This window comes from Homo sapiens, chromosome 1 (genome assembly GCF_000001405.40).
Source record: "Homo sapiens chromosome 1, GRCh38.p14 Primary Assembly".
NCBI classification, from domain to species: Eukaryota; Metazoa; Chordata; class Mammalia; order Primates; family Hominidae; genus Homo; species Homo sapiens.
In genome coordinates, this window is record NC_000001.11 from 247029069 (window position 1) to 247051697 (window position 22629).

General features: G+C 41.5%; 1 protein-coding gene, 1 long non-coding RNA gene and 1 pseudogene across 3 annotated transcripts in view, besides 1 other annotated feature; 1 reads left to right on the forward strand and 2 right to left on the reverse strand.

The window, feature by feature from the left end:
• Positions 1-22629, reverse strand: part of ZNF670-ZNF695 (ZNF670-ZNF695 readthrough (NMD candidate)) — a 133266-nt gene that overhangs the window by 83523 nt on the left and 27114 nt on the right. The gene's annotated exons all lie outside the window — the stretch shown is intronic.
• The window catches only part of ZNF670 (zinc finger protein 670), a 44175-nt gene continuing 27114 nt past the window's right edge, over positions 5569-22629 (reverse strand). The window contains exons 2-4 of one of the 2 annotated variants that reach the window (NM_001204220.2): positions 10343-10469; positions 9742-9802; positions 5569-9356 (exon numbers count right to left, since the gene is read on the reverse strand). In NM_001204220.2, the coding sequence (NP_001191149.1) occupies positions 8381-9356; positions 9742-9802; positions 10343-10469 (1164 nt within the window). In that variant the 3' untranslated portion in view covers positions 5569-8380. Of the gene's footprint in view, positions 9360-9741; positions 9803-10342; positions 10470-22629 lie in introns of both variants that reach the window. The other variant, NM_033213.5, reaches the window with a different exon arrangement.
• LOC100420880 (DNA primase subunit 1 pseudogene) lies at positions 13709-15099 on the forward strand (annotated as a pseudogene).
• Positions 16396-16563: a silencer, noted in NCBI's record as "fragment chr1:247208766-247208933 (GRCh37/hg19 assembly coordinates)". NCBI's record gives its function as "represses an EF-1alpha promoter that drives an FKBP-Casp9 reporter gene in an ReSE screen in phorbol 12-myristate 13-acetate-treated (for megakaryocytic differentiation) K562 erythroleukemia cells {active_cell/tissue: K562(+PMA)}" and the evidence as "EXISTENCE:reporter gene assay evidence [ECO:0000049][PMID:32094911]".

Below are 22629 nucleotides of genomic sequence, written 5' to 3' on the forward strand. Positions count from 1 at the left end.
TTATTGATTGTCCCCTAAGGGGATGTTTAGCTTAAATTGCACCTCTCAGTCTGCGTGCCATGGCCACATTATGTTCAGCTGGTCTGAACAAAATGGTCAGATGGCAGAAATGATAAGAAGTATAGCAAGAGTTCCTATTATCTGGAATCATGGCGGTATAATGGCATCTCAACCTCAAATGATATGGCCCGTTGTAGGAGCTAAACATAAGGATTTGTGGAAACTTTTAAATGCTCTTAATAAGATAAAAATTTGGGAAAGAATAAAAAAGCATCTAGAAGGACACTCTACAAACTTGTTTTTGGATATCACAAAATTAAAAGAACAAATATTTAAAGCATCCCAGGCACATCTGACCTTAATGCCAGGAACTGGAGTGCTTGAAGGAGCTGCAGACAAATTAGCAGCTAGTAACCCATTAAAATGGATAAAAACACTTGGAATCTCTGTGATTTCAATGATGATTGTGCTTTTAATCTGTGTTGCTTGTCTTCGTATAGTCTGCAGATGTGGATCCTGACTCCTGCGAGAAGTAGCTCACCATGACAAAGCTGCCTTTGCTTTTATCAATTTGCAAATCAAAGAAGGGGGACATGTTGGGAGCAAGCCCCTCAAAATCTGGCCATAAACTGGCCCCAAAACTGGCCATAAACAGAATCTCTGCAGCACTCTGACATGTTCATAATGGCCTTAATGCCTGCGCTGGAAGGTTGTGGGTTTACAGGAATGAGGGCAAGGAACACCTGGCCCACCCAGGGCAGAAAACTGCTTAAAGGCATTCTGAAGCCACAAACAATAGCATGAGCGATCTGTGCCTTAAGGACATGCTCCTGCTGCAGTTACCTAGCCCAACCTATTCCTTTAATTTGGCCCATCCCTTCGTTTCCCATAAGGGATACTTTCAGTTAATTTAATATCTACAGAAACAATGCTAATGACTGGCTTGCTGTTAATAAACACGTGGGTAAATCTCTGTTCGGGGCTCTCAGCTCTGAAGGCTGTGAGACCCCGATTTCCCACTTCACACCTCTATATTTGTGTGTGTGTGTCTTTAATTCCTCTAGCGTTGCTGGGTTAGGGTCTCCCTGACTGAGCTGGTCTCGTCACTGCTGCTCATTTTTATATAGGTGTGTGTAATGATCAGGCTATGCAACTGATTATTTAGAAAGACACTTAAAAATGGTTTCTAATCTTTTGCTACCAAAACTGAATTATAACTCATGTTAAGATGCAGCGGGACATAGTAAAAATATGTTCTTTTAAAATTTATTAAGTATTTTAAATGTATTGAAAGTGAAAGTACACCTTGTCAAAATTTCTGGGATGCAGTGAAAGCAGTGCTTTGAAATTTATAGCACTGAATGCAAATATTTAAAAAATAAAATCAATAATATTCCACTTTAAGACACTAAAGAAAGAGCAAAATAAACCTAAATTAGTCAAAAGAAAAATCGAAACAATTGCACCGCAAATAAATGAAACTGAAAATAGAAAATCAAGAGAAAAATCAATAGAACAAAAACTGGTTGTTTGAAAAAGATTAATAAAATTAATAAATATTGTCAGGATAACCAAGAAAAAAAGATTTTAAAAAAAGACAAATATAAAAAATGAATGACAGACCAGCATTCCTGACCCCATGGGCATTAAAAGGATTACAAAAAAAAAATACTGCCGGGTGTGGTGGCTCACGCCTGTAACCCCAGCACTTTGGGAGGCTGAGGTGGTCTGATCATGAGGTCAGGAGATCGAGACCATGGTGAAACCCCATCTCTACCAAAAATACAAAAAAATTAGCTGGGCTTGGTGGTGGGCACCTGTAGTCCCAGCTACGCAGGAGGCTGAGGCAGGAGAATGGCATGAACCCAGGAGGCGGAGCTTGCAGTGAGCCAAGATCACGCCACTGCACTCCAGCCTGGGCGACAGAGTAAGACTCCGTCTCAAATAAAAAAAAAAAAAAGAATACTATAGACAGCTGTATTCCCATAAATATGATAACCCAGATCAATGGAACCAATTCCTTCAGGCACAATCCACCAAAACCCACAAAAGGAGATAATACTGTATCTATTAATGAAATGGAATCAGTATTTACCTAGTAACCTTCAGAAAAACTTATGTTCAACCATGTTAACTTATTTTAACTAGTGGGGTTCAGGGGCTCCCACTTTGTCAAGAACATGTAGAAGTAGCAAACAACTGTATTACTCATTGGATCAGGGAATCCATGTCAACTACGGTCTATCATAGCACAATGGGTGCTATGACTGTGGAGAATTTAGGCTACATGATACTGGTTTTTTTAATTAAAAGATAGCATTCCTGTTTTATATACAGTAATTCCCTCTAAGATCATAGGGGAACTGTAGTTAAATGTTGTGGCATCACCAGTATAATTCTTTTGTAACCTGTATTGATTAAGGACATTAAGGTTTCCCAATTGATGCATTTCAACAGATTTTTAAATTAATTCATAGGCCCTCTCCCTCTCCCTCTCCCCACGGTCTCCCTCTCCCTCTCTTTCCACGGTCTCCCTCTGATGCTGAGCCGAAGCTGGACTGTGCTGCTGCCATTTCGGCTCACTGCAACCTCCCTGCCTGATTCTCCTGCCTCAACCTGCCCAGTGCCTGCGATTGCAGGCGCGCGCCGCCACGCCTGACTGGTTTTCATATTTTTTTGGTGGAGACGGGGTTTCGTTGTGTTGGCCGGGCTGGTCTCCAGCTCCTAACCGCGAGTGACCCGCCAGCCTCAGCCTCCCAAGGTGCCGGGATTGCAGACGGAGTCTCGTTCACTCAGTGCTCAATGGTGCCCAGGCTGGAGTGCAGTGGCGTGATCTCGGCTCGCTACAACCTCCACCTCCCAGCCGCCTGCCTTGGCCTCCCAAAGTGCCGAGATTGCAGCCTCTGCCCGGCCGCCACCCCGTCTGGGAAGTGAGGAGCGTCTCTGCCTGGCCGCCCATCGTCTGGGATGTGAGGAGCCCCTCTGCCTGGCTGCCCAGTCTGGAAAGTGAGGAGCATCTCTGCCCGGCCGCCATCCCATCTAGGAAGTGAGGAGCACCTCTTCCCAGCCGCCATCCCATCTAGGAAGTGAGGAGTGTCTCTGCCCGGCCGCCCATCGTCTGAGATGTGGGGAGCGCCTCTGCCCCGCTGCCCCGTCTGGGATGTGAGGAGCGCCTCTGCCCGGCCACGACCCCGTCTGGGAGGTGAGGAGCGTCTCTGCCCGGCCACCCCGTCTAAGAAGTGAGGAGACCCTCCGCCCGGCAGCCGCCCCATCTGAGAAGTGAGGAGCCCCTCCGCCCGGCAGCCACCCCGTCTGGGAAGTGAGGAGCGTCTCCGCCTGGCAGCCACCCCGTCCGGGAGGGAGGTGGGGGTCAGCCCCCGCCCGGCCAGCCACCCCTTCTGGGAGGGAGGTGGGGGGTCAGCCCCTGCCCGGCCACCCGCCCCGTACGGGAGAGAGATGGGGGTTCAGACCCAGCCCGGCCAGCCGCCACCTCCAGGAGGGAGGTGGGGGGTCAGCCCCCACCCGGCCAGCCGCCCCGTCCGGGAGGGAGGTGGGGGGTCAGCCCCCGCCCGGCCAGCCGCCCCGTCCTGGAGGGAGGTGGGGGGTCAGCCCCCGCCCGGCCAGCCGCCCCGTCCAGGAGGTGAGGGGCACCTCTGCCCGGCCGCCCCTACTGGGAAGTGAGGAGCCCCTCTGCCCGGCCACCACCCCGTCTGGGAGGTGTACCCAACAGCTCATTGAGAACGGGCCATGATGACAATGGCGATTTTGTGGAATAGAAAAGGGGGAAAGGTGGGGAAAAGATTGAGAAATCGGATGGTTGCTGTGTCTGTGTAGAAAGAAGTAGACATGGGAGACTTTTCATTTTGTTCTGTACTAATAAAAATACTTCTGCCTTGGGAAAAAAAAAATTAATTCAGAGGCCATTTTGCAGAAGCATATAACCTAATCAGCACCCAATTATCTAGTTTTATATATTATTTAGTAAACTTCAGATTCCCAATCGGGTCAAATTGTAAAACTTTCTCTTGGGTAGGAACTCCTTTGAGGCCAGTGGGTGAATGTCTGTGTACCCTATTCATATTTATCAATGTATTCTTCCAGAAAGGCTAAAACCAACATTGCCATTGTTGCATGTCTCCTACAAGGTAATAGCTGTGTTGGTGGGGTTCAAGAATTCTAGGTTTGGCTGGGCACAGTGGCTCACACCTGTAAATCCAGCACTTTGGGAGGCCAAGGTGGACAATCACGAGGTCAGGAAATTGAGACCAGCCTGGCTAACAAAGTGAAACTCCATCTCTACAAAAAATGCAAAAACAAAATTAGCCGGGCATGGTGGCGGGCGCCTGTAGTCCCAGCTACTTGGGAGGCTGAGGCAAGAATGGCATGAACCCGGGAGGTGGAGTTTGCAGTGAGCCGAGATCGTGCCACTGCACTCCAGCCTGGGCGACAGAGCAAGACTCCGTCTCAAAAAGAAAAAAAAAAGAATTCTAGGTTTATGTTTGAATTAACTCCTTTGCTGTGTCATATGGGTACCATGGTTGTTTCTCCCCAAAGCAGGCTCACTGTGTACTGTTATCAGCTTGTCTGAGTATGATGAGAGAGAACACATTCATGCACATATTACATAAGTTGATTTATTACTTATAAAGGGATCGAAGATGAGAAGTCTAAAATTCAGTGTGATGTGGTCCCCCTGAGGTTCAGAGAAGTTGCCTGGAAGGATGGAATTTTGATTGCATGTGCCCCACTTGCAACACAGTTAAGAGACTCCAGAAAATAGCCCAGCCCAGGTTTTATAGCCCAGGATCACCTGACTCACTGACCAAAAGTGTTGAGAGATTGTATTTCTTGTGAAGACTGTTAAGTCTGGGCTGTTCTACCATTCTCTTCTGATATCAGGATATTCCATTCCCAGCACATTCTACACTTATTCTTGAAAACTGCAAGTAAGAAAGAGGGTAGAACCGGACCAGTCCAATAAAACTTGGAGGACAGTTCTGAATCCTTAACAGTGAGGGATCAGGATATTTGTTGTGATAGAAACATAGGCAGTAGCAGTACAGAAATTTCAGTGTCCCAGTTGGCCATCTGCTATTAGGTTTCTGGACCACAGCATGACTCATGACTGCTTTTGTCTTCTTTCTATAAAAACTGCTTCAGACTATCTTTTAATTCTTCTCATGCAAAGTAGCAGCATTTGATTTATCGGTAGTGTGGGCAATCTGTGTGGTTAAAGAAAACAGTTCAGGAGTCCGTCAACCCACATTGAAGAACACCTAATCCTCCAGTGAGTGCCACTCAATCTTGCTGGTGTTAGCAACATACAGTAAGGTCATTTTGACTAAGGTCATCTAGGTTGCAAGGTTAGGCCTTTGGCATGCTGATCAGTAGTGCTAAAAGAAGCCCATATACTAGATAGAGGTTCTGCAATGAAAGAGGCTAATGCCAAATGCTTCCTCCCCTTTTCTTGACTCATCAGTGCCTGGACCAAGAGGCACCATGGATGTGCACCTCATCAGAAGAATGCACATAAAAGCAACAGCACAAGAAAACACTCAAGGCCACTAGTCTTGCACAAGTCATCTTGTTACACAATTAGGTGACATGCTTAATTCTCCCCAGCATGGGGACATTCTTCCTTTCTGCAACTTCACACACACAAAATCCCTGGAGCTGTCCCAAGTGTGTACAGTAATAACGTTCACATGGCTACTCCAAGCATCCAGTGATGGCAACCAAACGAGATGCAGTTACCACAGAGCAGTAGTCTGACTTTTGATAATCAGGAATAAAGAACCCAGTGGTGAAGGTGCTGGGTCACTGCCTCAATGTGGGGTACCTTGGAAACTGCCTGCCAAACACAGGTCAAGGTGGAACATACATCCTCCTGGGGAACGGCTGGTCAACCAGTCATGTCTAGGAGTTGAGAGTTCTACTGTGGGAAGAGGTGGCAACAGCTGATAACACAAAGCACTGTGTAGACCAAAGTGAAAGTCCACCATCAATTGCTGTTTCTAATTCAGGTGACTTCTGTTATATTATGGAACCAGTTAGACAAAAGCAGGTAGTTAAAGCTGAAAAGATATCATCAGTCATGGTTGGTTCATTCTGTTGGTAATGCCAATTGTTTTCACAGTCTCATGGGTGACAGGAAAAATTAGGACCCTAAGACTACTGGGAAAAACACGTGACACCCATGAGTGTACAGATAAGATTGAGAGAAGTTATTAGTTACATACATTCATAGACAAAAAAGGGAGGGTTCTGTAAACGAGGCTGGTCCACACAAGACTTGCACTACGGAGCAGATAGAACAAACAGGGTGTAAGGGGAATGCTTTGTAGTATCAAGAACGTGAGATGCTTCTTGGTTCTCATAAGGATGCAATTGGTTTGTTTAAATGCATCTGTGGAATGGTAGGCAACTGAAATATGTTAGGCTACAGACTGATAAGATCAAAATAGTATGTTATAATGCCATAATCCTGTAATATACAATTTATTGTAGTGCTAATTACACATAATATAAACTAGTTATGCATAATTCATAGTAACTTACAAAACTGTACTATACCACATATTATATAGCTACTTATACACATATAAGTATACATGTAGACATGCTATATATACAGATGATGCTATACTATATGGTATACTAGGGCACACCAATTTGACTATAAATGCAAAAGGCCCCAACAATACACTGGAAAATTGAACGTTATCAATATGGGTTGAGTGTTTCTTATCTGAAATACTTGGGAACGGAAGTGCTTTGGATTTCAGACTTTTAACATTTTGGAATATTTGCAGAAAACTTACTGGATGAGCATCCCTAATCCAAATATCAAAAATCCTCTAATGAGCATTTCTGTTGAGCATAAGACTGGTGCTCAAACAGTTTTTGACTTCGGAGCATTTCAGATTTGGTATTGGAATCTGGGGTTTACAGATGTTCAACCTGTAGATAAAATACTTATATTCCATGATGAAGACAAATTTCACCCAGATAACCATAATATATTTATATCTGAAAGCCAGTTAACGTAATAGACTATCAGTAGAATGCCAAAAACCACAAATCATCTCAATAGATGCAGAAAAAAACATGTCATAAGAGTTCAACACTCCTTTACCATGAAACAATAAATAAAAAACACAAGAAAACTTCCTGAGCCTGTTTGAGAATATTTATGAAAAATCCACAATATACTTGATGGTGAGACTGAATGCTTTCACACGCAGATTAGACAAGCATACTGTCCAATCACAGTTCTCTCTTCTTAATTCAAAGTAAAAAGTGGGCCAGGTGTGGTAGCTCATGTCAGTAACCCCAACATGTAGACAGGCTGAGGCAGGAGGATAGCTTGAGGCCAGGAATTCAATACCAGCCTAGACAATACAGCGAGATCCCATCTCTATAAAAAATTTTTAAAATTATATAATTAGCTGAGCATGGTGGCATGTGTCTGTAGCTCCAGCTACATAGGAGGCTAAGGTGGGAGAATCACTTGAGCCCAGGAATTTGAGGCTGCAGTGAGCTAAGACTATTATTACCACTACACTTCAGCCTAGCTGACAAAGTGAGACCCTCTCTAAAAACATAACATTTTTTAAAAAAGTGAACTATGCAAGTAACAGCCAAAACTCATGACAGAATAAAGGAAAGAAAATGAAAATAACAATGTACATGAGACTATATAAACTTCACATACATGCAAATTAATAACAATTCTTTATTAGCAAAGAAAACAGAAGAAAATCTTTACAACAAAAAAGTAGTTTTCCCATAAAAAGGTAGAATACACACACACACACACACACACACACACACACATGAACTCATTTTTCATTGGTCCATTAATTAGAGAACAATTAAACAACTACATGAAAATTAAAATTGCCTACTATTAGAAATACATTTCAACTTAGTCTAGGGATCCAACAAATTTTTAAATGAATAGACAAAAATTATGTTAACTGATGAGAAACAAAACACAGCCTATTAAGCTCATGTACTATGGCTTATAAAGTATCTGTGAAATTCTCAGCTCCATGATTCCCTGCAAAAAACTGAAAATCTAAAGTATAGACACCTTCTTTAACAATGAACCACTGATAAAAATATATTTGAAAGCGGCTGGGAAAATAAAGTGTTCTAACACATTTTTCGTATTTTATGACGTTCTTTCCCAGGACGGGTCCTTCTAAGTTTTAGAAGGGAACTAGGAAAATTGCATACATTCTAATCTTCCTTACATGTGTTGGGTTTCTCTCTAATTTGAGTTTTTAATTTTTTCACGTGTTCTAATGAAACTAGAATAACTGAAAGCTTTAACACACTTCTTACATTGACAGAGGTGTTTTGTTGTTGTTGTTTTTTACCACATATAAGCTCTTTCATGCTTTCGAAGGGAACTGGAACAACTGAAGGCTTTACCACATTTCTTACATTCATAGGGTTTTTCTCCAGTATGAGTCCTTTCATGGCTTCGAAGGGCACTGGAAGAAGTAAACGACTTACCACATTCCTTACATCCATAAGGTTTCACTCCAGTGTGAGTTCTTTCATGCTCACATAGGTTACTAGAATATTTGAAGGCTTTACCACATTGTTTACATTCATAGGGCTTTTCTCCACTGTGAGTCCTTTCATGGACTCTGAGGACTCTGGAACATCTAAAGGCTTTGCCACATTTTATACATTCATAGGGTTTTTCTCCAGTATGCGTTCTTTCATGTATTCCCAAGTAAGTGGAACGACTGAAGGCTTTGCCACATTCCTTACATTCATAGGGTTTCTCTCCAGTATGAGATCTTTCATGTTGGCGAAGAGAACTGGAAAAAGTGAATGATTTACCACATTTCTTACATGCATAGGGTTTCTCTCCAGTATGAGTTCTTTCATGTTCACGAAGATAACTTGAATAATTGAAGGCTTTATCACAATGTTTACATTTATATGTTTTCTCTCCAGTGTAAGTGCTCTGAGGCATTTGAAATACACTAGGAAAATCAAAAGGCTTCTCATACACTGGACCCTTATAAGGCCCATTACTAGTGTGTGTTACCATGTGTCTGTCAACACTGGTGAGAGAGATAAAGGCTTTCCCACATTGTTTGCAATGATATAACTTCTCTGGACATTCCTCACACTCAAATAGTTTGTTTCCAATGTGAGACAGGATGTGCCTATGAAGGGCTGAATGACATATGAAGACTTTTCCACACACACTGCATTCACATGGCTTTACTCCAGTAGAAACTTTCTTATTCAGATTCAAATTTGAATCCTGGCTGAAGGTTTCTCCATATTGACTGCCTTCTTTAATTTCAAACAGTCTCTCTACCACATGACTGCTGTAAAAATGATAAACATCATTAATGGTACATTTATTCATGGTTTACATTGCTACTAATACCATGGAAAATGCAAGTTTCCTGCCATATCTAAATTGTTTTAAAGTAAATAAATTAATTACTGTAAGATATGGGTCCCCCATAGCTATTATCATTATTATCATAATTGTGATAGTCACATGTACAGTATCTTGGTGGTGTTTCCAAGTAAAATATTCTGAAAATATTGAACATCAATGTTACATTCAGGTGTATTTTTTGCTAAGACTTTTCTGGAAAAAAAAAATTTCTAGTGGTTCTTAGTTGTTTTGTCTGTTTTAAAAACTTATGACATGCTAAGATTCCCTCAAGGGGCATTTTTGCTCTTGTGAATGCAAATTACCTTAGATTTCTCCCAGGATTTTTGAAGTCATCTTGGATATTCTGGTCTTCTGATTTGTTTCCTAAAAGGTACAACCATAAGATTATTCAAATGATTAGAAACTTTAAAAATTGCTAGATTCAAGGTTCACTATACACTGTGACCATAACTAATTTTTTTCACCAAAGTACTCCCTTTCCACATGCCAAATCAGGAAACATTCATAACCAAGAAACACTTGTTTTCTTCTTCTTTTCTTTTTTCTTTCTTTCTTTTTTTTTTTTTTTTGAGACAGATTGTTTCTTCGTTGACCAGGCTGGAGTGCAGTGGCTCAATCTCGGCTCACTGCAACCTCCACTTCCTAGGTTCCAGCAATTAACCTGTCTCAGGCTCCCAAGTAGCTGGGATTACAGGCGCCTGCTACCACGCCTGGCTAATTTTTTTATTTTTTTGGTAGAGATGGGGTTTCACCATGTTGGCCAGGCTGGTCTTGAACTCCTGACCTCAGGCGATTCACCCGCCTTGGCCTCCCAAAGTGCTGGGATTACAGGTGTGAGCCACCACGCCCAGCCAAAACACTTGCGTTGTAATCAACTACGTGAATAAGTGTTGTTATTCTTACCTACAGAAGCCAGGTTCCTGAAGATTTCTTGCATCACATCTCTGTAGAGATTCTTTTGAGAAGGATCCAGCAAAGCCCACTCCTCCTGAGTAAAGGCCACAGCCACATCTTCAAATGACACTGAATCCTAGAATATCGCACATATGTGGAGAGGAGGATGGCTTAGACAGACAGTACTAAGAATCTATACTCATCTCATAAAATCGTAACATAATTCTGCAGACTTCAAACATTTCTTCCATGACCTGGTCATCAGAACTTTACTCTCTGTCTGCACTTACTGCTGCCCACTCAACATTCTTCATGCTAAAATGAAACTATTCAGAAAGTCAACAGCAGAGTAGGAACACCTGTCTCATTGGCAGGTGCAGGGAATAAACTGTGCTGTAAGAAATGAGGTCACCCCTAATTTCTATGTGTAGATTTTATCTTAAGGGCCTCTCATAACGAAGTCATGCTATTTGTTGTGTATAACAGTTAGTATTAAGTCTTAAGACTACATATCCTTAGAAATACCTGCTCACAAAGTCTGACCTTTTGGTGTGAGAAAATAGATTTTTTTGACGGATCTCATCACCCTAAGTGAGTGGTTCACAATATGTAAACAATCTTATGCAAACAATATATTATTCGCTGAACTCCAGTTTTGTTTTGTTTCTGAAAGCCTACTACTTTACTCCATTCTTGCAGTGGTACCTAGGGGATCAGCTCTGAAAAACACTCTGAGCATTAAGTCTCTAATGAGCATTCTTGGTAAACAATATTTCTCATATGCTGTTACAACTTGTTAACTGGAGAAATGAGGCATCAACGTGATTATAATAAGAAAATATTTGGAAGCTTGCAAGTAGTTTACTCCAGACCAAATTAAACCCAGTTGTAAATAAGACTGATAATTTATCTTTAATAACAAACAAAACAATTTTAAAATTTCTATTGGATAACAACAAAGTGCAATGGAGTAAGTGGAAAGATAGTACGTGTGCTTAGAAGAAACTCAATGTCATCAAGATATCACCTCTTTCAAATAGCCTTAAAAAATTCCATCAATCCCCAAAACAGACACTTTATTAGCAACTGAAAACTACTTTTCCAAACCTAACAAAAAAAAAATGTCTAAGAATTGTCAAAGTCTTCCAAACAATAGGGCAATGGCTTCCTTACCATGTATCAGAATTTTCAAACTATAATATTCAGGACAGTATTAATGTGGAGATAAACAAATAGTCCAAAAGGGAAAAAAGTTTTAAATAAGCAGGAATTTATTTTTATTTTATTTTTTTATTTTATTTTTTTGGTGAGATGGAGATTTACTCTTGTTGCCCGGGCTGGAGTGCAATGGCGTGATCTCGGCTCACCACATCCTCCGCTGCCTCCCAGGTTCAAGCGATTCTCCTGCCTCAGCCTCCCGAGTAGCTGAGATTACAGGCATGTGTCACCACGCCCAGCTGATTTTGTATTTTTAGTAGAGACAGGGTTTCACCATGTTGCCCAGGCTGATCTTGAACTCCTGACCTCAGGTAATCTGCCTGCCTTGGCCTCCCAAAGTGCTGGGCTTACAAGCCACTGTGCCTGGCCTGTAAGCAGGAATTTTGTATGTAAAGTTCATTAATGACAGAGCATTCCAGAATAGTGGAAGAAATCAAAAGCACTTTAAAACATACAGTAGAGCAAATTGGTACTAACTGAAAAAGTACATTGCATTCCCCTCTATTCCATGAACAATAATCAAGTTCTTTATTTCAAATATGAAAGACAAAACTAAAATACGTTCAGACTTCGAAGGAAAACAGGGGTATTTTTGGACAGAAAAATGGGCAGAATTCATTTAAACAGAAAAAAAGGAACTGGCAAATTCACATATATTAATATTCAGGAAATTAAAAGGCAAAAAGCAGTGGGAAAAAACTGTAATACATGCAATATAAAAGAATTAGTATGAAGTGTAAAAATGAACACGATTTAAAAGTGAGAAAATAAGCAAAGCATACTTAAAAGAAGATGAAAGACCACCTATTTTTTTAAAAAGTCAACTTCCTTGGTAATGAGAAAATAGAAAATAGTCAGGTATATGACATTTGAAATTGACTAGAAGAAAAAAATCAACTCCATGTGATGACGGCCATGGCAAACGGGTTACTCACGAAGGAAGGAGGAGTCAACTGATACCCTCCATTGCTCTAATTTGAACTTACCACAATGTGTAGCCCATTAATTTTTCTAAAATGTCCAGAGAATTTACGGTGCATTTGCACTTGGAGATGTGGCATAAAATCATAGGAGCATTATTTTTCCCAAAAGCAAAAAAATACAATTGAAAAAGCCCTCACATCAGAATCATTAAAATGGACGGCTGAATTAAATGGTCCACAGCCTCAGGCACTAGCATGTGTGAAACATACTGACACAAGGAAATCACCAATAAACCTTTTTGTTTTAATTCCATTCATACTCATTTTAGAAAGTTCAAGTAAAGCAAAATGGAACTGAAAAATTACAGATGATAAAAATGCAAAAAAGTAGCCAAACAATCACAACAGTGGTCAACTAAGAGATAAGTCTAGGTGGGAACCATCAGAAAACTCTTAATGACTGTAGGAGGCCCAGTTAAGAATCTTAATTATAATTTCCAAGTTGCTTCAACTATTGTTACTAAAACTCTTGACAAATGTTTTACTCATTCTTACTGTATTTCTTAATAGAAAACTTAAAAATTAATTAAAATGTAAAAGAACACAATTTTTATGTTTCTTTGCCTTATAACGTGATCTGAGTCGTGATTTACAGATTTCACAGAAATAAGTAAATTGAGCAGCACAGCTCACAGTGCTAGTTGCTCAGCAAGCAGCTAAAGTACACACCAGATACCAGGCGGCAGAACCGATTAGCAAGTCATTGCGAGAGAAGACAGAACCACATGGTGGTGGGCAATGTCTGAACATTCTGCTAGTGGTACTAAGTGCGATGGTCACGGGCAGAGATGTGTTTGGAAAGGGTAGGAAATTATTACTCAGAAAATTGACACTTGTGGATCCATTAGGTCAGGCCTTTCAAGGTGGTTTGATATGGTTTGAATGAGGAAGAAAAGGAGCCAGGCCTGTGTTTTCTGTTGAGGGTAGGTGGAAAGCTAGGATGAGAATTCAGTTTCAAGGGAAAAGATTTACATGGTTTCAATCTGCTGCCAAAACCCAGAGAGAGCACCCAGGCTTGTTTTCACCATATCCTGATGTGACGTCAGAAGTAGAAGAAAGTAAGTTTAGGATTAAAAGTTGACAGCAGTGAATTAAAGAAAAAAATGGAGACAGACACTTCTGATTTCCAGTAGAGCAAGTAGGCATAAAAGGCAATGGTCAAGCTTCCTAGGTTGAGTTCTGAGTTCCATGAAAATGTCTGACCCCACCACGCTGTCTGAGCTACTGAAATGTTATTACCAGAGGCTCTTTCCCTATTCTCTGTACTGTAACTGGCTCAACTACAGCAGAGTGATAAAGAATTACTCCCAACACTGTGAATTTTCATTCACATTGAAAGATGACATTACATTCGATACCAATCCTTCAACAACCAGAGTGATCTGGAAAAGGAGATGCAGAAAGTGAATCCATACAAGATTGATATAGGTGCAGTATATTCCCACAGACCCAATCAACACAATACAGTGAGGCTGGGAGCTTTCCAGGCTCAGGAAAAAGAACTGGTGTTTGACACTGACATGACAGACATGACAATGTGAGGAGATGCTGTAGTTCTGCAGATACATGTTCTACGTGCTGGACCCTCATGACAAGGGCCATACGCATCACTAACACAGCACTGAAGGAGGACTTTGGATTTAAGCATTGTCTCTGGGTATATTCTGGAAGGAGGGGTGTACATTGTTTGGTCTGTGATAAATCAGTTAGAAAACTGTCTTCGGTGGTATATTCTGGGATAGTTGAGTATTTGAGCCTTGTAAAGCATGGTCAAGATGTTAAAAAGAAAGTTCACCTAACTGAAAAAATTCACCCTTTTGTCAGAAAATCTATAAACATAATAAAAAAAACTTTGAAGAATATGCCTTGGTTAATCAAGATATTCTCAAAAATAACAAAAGCTGGGATAAGATTTTAGCCCTTGTTCCTGAAACAATTCAGGATGAACTTCAACAAAGCTTCCAAAAGTCTCACAATTCACTTCAGCATTGGGAGCACCAGCAGATGTCAGAATAACATCAAAAATCAAAATGTGGATCCTGGCTGCAGTGGGAGATTATGCTCCAGGACTGTTTCCACGATGGGGTATCAATGTCAACAAAGAAATCAATCATTTACCGCAGAGCCCTTTTAGCGTTCATCCTAAAACAGGTCGCATTTCTGTGCCTACTGATTTGCAGAAACTGGATCGGTTTGATCCATTTACTGTTCCAACCATAAGCCTCATCTGCCATGAACTGGATGCCATTTCCACTAATGAAGAGGAAAAAAGGAGAATTAAACTGAATCTGATATTAAACATAGAACCAGAGATATAAGACCAGTCTAGCACCTTATGTGAGTTTTTGAACAACTTCTTGAAAACCTGGGTAAACACCGAAAAAGAGAACTTCTTAAGAAGAGTGATTTACAAAAAGATTTCAGAAGACAATGCTCCTCAAACCAATGTGGGTATCTTCTGCCTTCAACCAAGGATCAAATGCTCCAAGAGCCATTTAACAAATACAGCAGAACTATGTATGTGTCTTAATGCTCAAAGTAAATTTTCCTTTGCTTGAGAAATAATTTATGTTGAAAAGATTTCCTGAGACCACCAAAGGAGACTGTCAAGGTTCACGGAAGGAGCAATAAAAGGAGAAATAATTGGAAAAAAAAAACCCCAAAAAACAAAGGCAACATTCAGGCTATTATTAGAGTCTTTAACAGATGGTGGCAAAGTAGCGCAGAAAATGGAGCACTTACACACTGCTGGTGGGAATGTAAATTAGTTCAGCCATTGTGAAAAGCAGTTTGAAGATTTCTCAAAAAACTTAAAACAGAACTACCTTTTGACCCAGCAATCCCATTACTGGATACACACCCAAAGGAATATAAGTTGTTCTACCAAGAAGACACATGTACCTGTATGTTCATCACAGCACTATTCACAATATCAAAGACACGGAATCAATCCAAATGCCCATCAATAGTGGACTGGATTTTTTAAAAAGTGGTACATATACACCATGGAATACTATGCAGCTATAAGAAATTAAATCATGTCCTGTGCATAAACATGGCCACAGCTGGAGGCCATTATCATAAGCAAATTAATGCATTGACAGAAAACCAAATACCACATGTTCTCATTTATAAATGGAAGCTAACTGTTGAGTATACATGGACACAAAGATGGGAGCAACAGACACTGGGGCCTACCTGAGGGGGAGAATGGGAGGAAAGTGAGAGTCAAAAAACTACCTATCAGGCACTATGCTCACTATCTATGTGACAAAATCATTTATGCAGCAAAACACAGAAACATGAAATTTACTCATGTAACAAATCTGCATATGTACCCCCCAGAACACAAAAGTTAAAAAAAAAAAGCAACATTCACATTCACAATAAAAGGCAAATAAATTTAACTAAACAATTCTAAGATTAACCATTAAAGAACTGAGTTCCCAGTAAAAACTACCAAACCAAATTAGAGAGACAGAGAGGCACATCCAGAGAATCGTAACTCACTTGATGAGAAAACCATAAGAATCCTCTAAGAGTAGCAGTACGTGTATAGGAAAAACCAAACTGAAATTGGTGAGCTGCTCAAGTTTGAGAACATCTCCTGGGTGCCCAGGCTTAGGGATCCCCAGTAATTTATGAGTTTTACATCCACAAACATTACCAGTTGATACGGTTTGGCTGTGTGTTTCCTCCAAATCTCATGTTTAAATGTGACCTCCAATGTTGGAGGTGGGCCTAGGGGAAGGCATCTGGGTCATGGAGGCAGATATCTCATAAATGACTCAGTGCTGTCCTTGAAGTAATGAGTTCTCTGTTGGTTCACAGGAGAGCCGGGTATTTAAGAGGCTGGACCTTCCTCCTCCTCTCTCTGACTCCCTCTCTCACCATGTGGCTTGCCTGTTCCCCCTCTGCCTTCCGTCTGAGGCATCACCAGAAGCCAAGCAGCTGCCGGTGCCATGCTTGTACAGCCTGCAGAACCGTGAGTCAAATAAACCTACTTTCTTTATAAACTACCCAGTCTTAGGTATTACTTTATATCAATGGAAAAATGGAATAATACATAAAATTGGCACTGAGGAGTGGGGTGTTGCTATAAAGATACCTGAAAATGTGAAAGCAGCTTTGGAACTGGGTAACATGCAGAAGCTGGAAGACTTTCAAGGGCTCAGAAAAAGACAGGGAGATGAGGAAAATTAGAACTTTTTAGAGAGTGGTTAAGTGATTGAAACCAAAATGTTGACAGAAATATGGACAGTGAAAGCCAGGCCAATGAGGTCTTAGATGGAAATGACAAAGTTTTGGTGAGCTTGAGCAAAGGTCACCCATGTTACACCCTGGCAAAGACTTGGCTGCATTGTGTCCAATGCCCTAAGGATTTGTAGGAGGTTTAATTTAGGAGTAATAACTTAAGAGTCTCCAGAGGAAGACATTTCTAAGCAGCAAAGGATTCAAGAGGTGGTATGGTCGCTTCTTTGCCCCCACAATCAGAAGTGATTTAAAGTTGAAACATGATTAAAAGAGAAGCAGAGCATAAAAGTTTGGAAAATGTGCAACCTGGCCCTGTGGTAAAGAGGGAATCCAAGCAGCCTGTGGAGCAATGACTTGTAAGAGAGAGTTGCACAACTAAAGGGGAGCCAGGTGCCAACAGCCATGAGGCTAAGAAAAAGACCTGTAATGCATTTCAGAAAACTGTGGCAGCCCCTCTCACCACAGGCTCAGGGGCCTAAAAGGAAAAAGTTTGGGGTACCAGGTCGAAAGCATCACTGCCCTGTGCAGCCTCAGGACACTGCTCCTTGCATTCCAGTAGCTCTGGTTCCAGCTTTGGCTAAAAAGGCACCATATACCACTTGGGCCACGGTTCCAGAGGGCACAAGCCATAAGCCTTGGAGGCTTCCGCTTAGTGTTAAGCCTGCAGGTGCATAGAATACAAGAGTTAAGGAAGCTTGGTAGCTTCCACCTAAATTTCAGATGTATCAGGAATGTAGGTGCCCAGGCAGAAGCCTGACATGAGTGGAACCCCACAGGCAGCCTCTACTAGGGCAGTGCCAAGAGAAATGTGAGGATGAAGCCCCCACACAGAGTCCCCACAGTGGCACTGCCTAGCGGAGCTGTGGAAACAGGGCTGCTGCTTTCCAGACCCCAGAATGGTACAGCCACAAGCAGAAAGCACTGTGAGCCTGGAAACGTTGCAAGCATTTGACTCTAGTATGTCAGAAGTCACATGGGCTGCATCCAGCAAAGCCACAGGAATGAGGTTGCCCAAGGCAACAGGTAAATACACCGGTTCCAAATGGAAGAAATGGCCAAAACAAAGGGGCTACAGGCCCCATGCAAGTCCAAAATCCAGCAGGGCAATAAAATCTTAATGCTCCAAAATGATCGCCTTTGACTCCATGTCTCACATCCAGGTCCTGCTGATGCAAGAAGTGGACTCTCATGGCCTTGGGCAGCTCCACCCCTATGGCTTTGCAGGGTACAGCCCCATTCCTGGCTGCTTTCACAAGGTGGCATTGTCTGTGACTTTTCCAGGTACACACTGTAAGCTGTCAGTGGATCTACCATTCTGGGTCTGCAGGATGGTGGCTCTCTTCTCACAGCTCCACTAGGCAGTGCCTCAATGGGAGCTTTGTGTGGGAATTCCAACCCCACATTTCCCTTCCACACTGCCCTAGCATAGATTCCCTATGTGGGCTACACCACTGCAGCAAACTTCTGCCTAGACATCCGTGTATTTCCATACATCCTCTGGAATTGTGGCAGAGGTTCCCAAACCTCAATTCTTAACTTGGCTTTGTGTGGGGATTCCAACCCCACATTTCCCTTCCACACTGCCTTAGCATAGATTCTCTATGTGGGCTACACCACTGCAGCAAACTTCTGCCTAGACGTCCATGTATTTCCATACATCCTCTGAAATTGTGGCAGAGGTTCCCAAACCTCAATTCTTAACTTGGCTTTGTGTGGGGATTCCAATCCCACATTTCCCTTCCACACTGCCTTAGCATAGGTTCTCCATGTGGGCTAGGCCACTGCAGCAAACTTCTGCCTAGACGTCCGGGCATTTCCACACATCCTCTGAAATCGTGGCAAAGGTTCCCAAACCTTAATTCTTAAAGTTTTCTGTACCCACAGGCCCAACACCAAGTAAAGGCTGCCAAGACTTGGGGCTTGAACCCTCTGAAGCAATGGCCTGAGCTGTACATTGGTCTCTTTTAGCCACAGCTAGGACACAGCACCATGTCCCAAGACTACAAAAAGCAGCAAGGCCCTGGGTCCCGGATCATGAAACCATTTTTTTCTCCTATGCCTCCAAGCCTGTGATGGGAGGGACTGCCGTGAAGACCTCTGACATGTCCTAAAGACATTTTCCCCATTGTCTTGGCAATTAACATTTGGCTCCTCATTACTTACATAAATTTCTGCAGCTGGCTTAAATTTTTCCTCAGAAAATGGGTTTTCTTTTCTATCACATCATCAGGCTGAAAATTTTCCAAACGTTTATGCTCTGCTTCTCTTTTAAACATAAGTTTCAATTACAGACCACCTTTTTTTGAATGCATAAAACTGAATGCTTTTAAGAGCACCCAAGTCACCTCTTGAATGCTTTGCTCTTTAGAAATTTCCTCTCCCAGATACCCTAAATCATCTCTCTCAATTTCAAAGTTCTGCAGATCTCTAGGGCAGGGGCAAAATGCTGCCAGTCTCTTTGCTAAAGTATAGCAAGAGTCACCTTTGCTTCAGTTCCCAAGAAGATCCTCATTTCCATCTGAAACCACCTCAGCCTGGACTTAACTGTCTATATCACTATCAGCATTTTGGTCAAAGCCATTTAACAAGTCTCTAGAAAGTTCCAAACTTACCCACATCTTCCTGTCTCCTTCTGAGCCCTCCAAACTGTTCCAACCTCTGCCTGTTACCCAGTTCCAAAGTAACTTCCACATATTCAGGTATCTTTATAGCACCACCCCACTCTCTACAGTACCAACTTACTGTATTAGTCCATTCTCACATTGCTATAAGAAAATACCTGAGACTGAGTAATTTGTAAGGGAAAGAGGTTTAATTGACTGACAGTTCCACATGGCTGGGGAGGCCTCAGGAAATACAATCATGGCAGGAGGCGAAGGGGAAGCAAGGCACCTTCTTCACATGGTGGTAGGAAGAAGAATGACTGAAGGAGAAACTTGCCAAACACTCATCAAACCATCAGATTTCGTGAGAACAATTACTTCCACCTGGTCTCTCAATTCAAGGTGAGACATTGGGTGGGGACACAGTCAAATCATATCACCATCTCAATGCCGCTCCTTGTTATTGGTCTGTTTAGAGTTTCTATTTATTTCTTATTTAATCTAGGAGAGTTTCATAATTCCAGGAATTCATAAATCTCCTCTAGGTTTTCTAGTTTGTGCACATAAAGTTGTTGAAAGTAGCCTTAGTAATCTTTTGTATTTCTGTTGTATTGTTTGTAATACCTCCTGTTTCATTTCTTTTTTTTTTTTTTTTTTGAGATGGAGTCTCACTCTGTCATCCAGGCTGGAGTGCAGTGGTGCAATCTCAGCTCACTGCAACCTCCACCTGCCGGGTTAAGTGATTCCCCTGCCTCAGCCTCTTGAGTACCTGGAATTACAGGAATGTGTCACCATGCCCAGCTAATTTTTGTATTTTTAGCTGGTCTCAAACTCCTGACCTCACGACCTGCCCACCTCGGCTTCCCAAAGTGCTGGGATTACAGGCATGAGCCACCATGCCTGGCCCTCCTGTTTCATTTCTAATTGAGCTTATTTAGATTTTCTCTCTTCTTTTCTTGGTTAATCTCACTAATGGTATATCAATTTTGTTTATCTTTTCAAAGAACCAGCTTTTTGTTTCATTTATCTTTTGTATTTTTTGTTTGTTTCAATTTCATTTAGTTTTGCTCTGATCTTTGTTAGTTCTTTTATTCTGCTGGGTTTGGATTTGGTTTGCTATTGTTCCTCTAGTTCTTTCAGGTGTGACCTTAGATGGTCTATTTGTACTCGTTCAGACTTTTTAATGTAGGCATTTAATGATACAAACTTTTGTCTTAGCACTACCTTTGCTGTATCTCAGAGGTTTTGATAGGTTGTGTCACTACTATCATTCTGTTCAAAAAGTGTTTAAACTTCTATCTTGATTTCATTGTTGACCCAACAGTCAGTCATTCAGGAGCAGATTATTTAATTTCCATGTATTTGCATGGTTTTGAGTGTTCCTTTTGGAGTTGATTTCCAATTATACTCCATTGTGGTCTAAGAGTGTACTTGATATGATTTTGATTTTCTTAAATTTATTGAGACTTGTTTTGTGGCCTATCATATGGTGTATCTTCAAGAATGTTCCATGTGCTGATGAACAGAATGCATACACTGCAATTGTTGAGTAGAATATTCTGTAAATATCTGTTAAGTCCATCTGTTCTATGATATAGTCAAGACCATTGATTTTTTTGTTGGCTTTCTGTCTTGACCTGTCTAGTGCTGTCAGTGGAGTATTGAAGTCCCCCACTGTTATTGTGTTGCCATCTATCTCATTTTTAGGTCTAGTAGTAATTATTCTATAAATTTGGAAGCTCCAGTGTTAAGTGCATATGGACTTAAGACTGTGATATTTTCCTGTTGGACTAGTCTTTTTATCATTACATAATGCTCCTCTTTCTCTTTGTTAATTGCTATTGCTTTAAAGTTTGTTTTCTCTGATGTAAGAATAGCTACTCCTGCTCCTGCTCCCTTTTGTTGTCCATTTGCATGGAGTATCTTTTTCCACCTCTTTACCTTAGGTTTATGTGAGTCCTTATGTGTCAGGTGAGTCTCTTGAAGACAGCTGATAACTTGGTTGGTGAATTCTTTTCTTCTTTTTTTTTTTTTGAGACAGAGTCTCACTCTGTCACCCAGGCTGGAGTGCAGTGGCACCATCTCAGCTCACTGCAACCTCCATCTCCCGGGTTCAAGCGATCCTCCTGCCTCAGCCACCCGAATAGCTGGGACTACAAGCATGCACCACCACGCCCAACTAATTTTTGTATTTTTAGCAGAGATGAGGTTTCACCATATTGGCCAGGCTGGTGTTGAACTCCTGACCTCGTGATCTGCCCGCTTCGGCCTCCCAAAGTGTTGGGATTACAGGCATGAGCCACCGTGCCCAGTGGTGAATTCTTATCCATTCTGCCATTTTGTATCTTTTAAGTGGGGGCATTTAGATCATTTACATTCAACGTTAGCATTGAGATGTAAGGTACCCTTCTATTAATCATGCTGCAAGTTGCTGCCTGAATACCTTGGTTTTTTTTCTTTTTTTTCATTGTGTTATTGTTTTATAGGTCCTGTGAGGTTTATGCTTTAAGGAGGTTCTATTTTGGTGTATTTTTTGAAGTTCTGTTTCATGATTTAGAACTCCTTTAGGCCAGGTGCGGTGGCTCACACCTGTAATCCCAGCACTTTGGGAGGCCGAGGCGGGTGGATCACGAGGTCAGGAGATCGAGACCATCCTGGCTAACATGGTGAAACCCCGTCTCTATTAAAAATACAAAAAATTAGCCGGGCGTGGTGGCAAGCGCCTGTAGTCCCAGCTACTTGGGAGGCTAAGGCAGGAGACTCCAGCCTGGGCGACAGAGCGAGACTCCGTCTCCAAGAAAAAAAAAAACAAAAAAAAAACTCCTTTTAGCAGTTGTTGTAGTGCTGGTTTGGTAGTGGTGAGTTCTCAGTATTTGCTTGTCTGAAAATAATTTTATTTTTCCTTCATTTATGAAGCTTAGTTTCACTGGATACAAAATTCTTGGCTGACAATTATTTTGTTGAAGGAGGCTAATGATAGAACCCCAATCTCTTTTAGCTTGTTGGGTTTCTGCTGAAAAATCTGCTGTAATCTGATAGGTTTTCCTTCCTAGGTTAAATGATGCTTTTGCCTCACAGCTCTTCAGATTCTTTCCTTCTTAATTTTAGATAACCTGATGAGTATGCATCTAGGTGATTATCTTTTTGTGATACATTTTCCAGGTGTTGTTTGAGCTTCTTGTATTTGGATGTCTAGATCTCTAGCAAGGCCAGGGAAGTTTTCCTCAATTATTTCCTC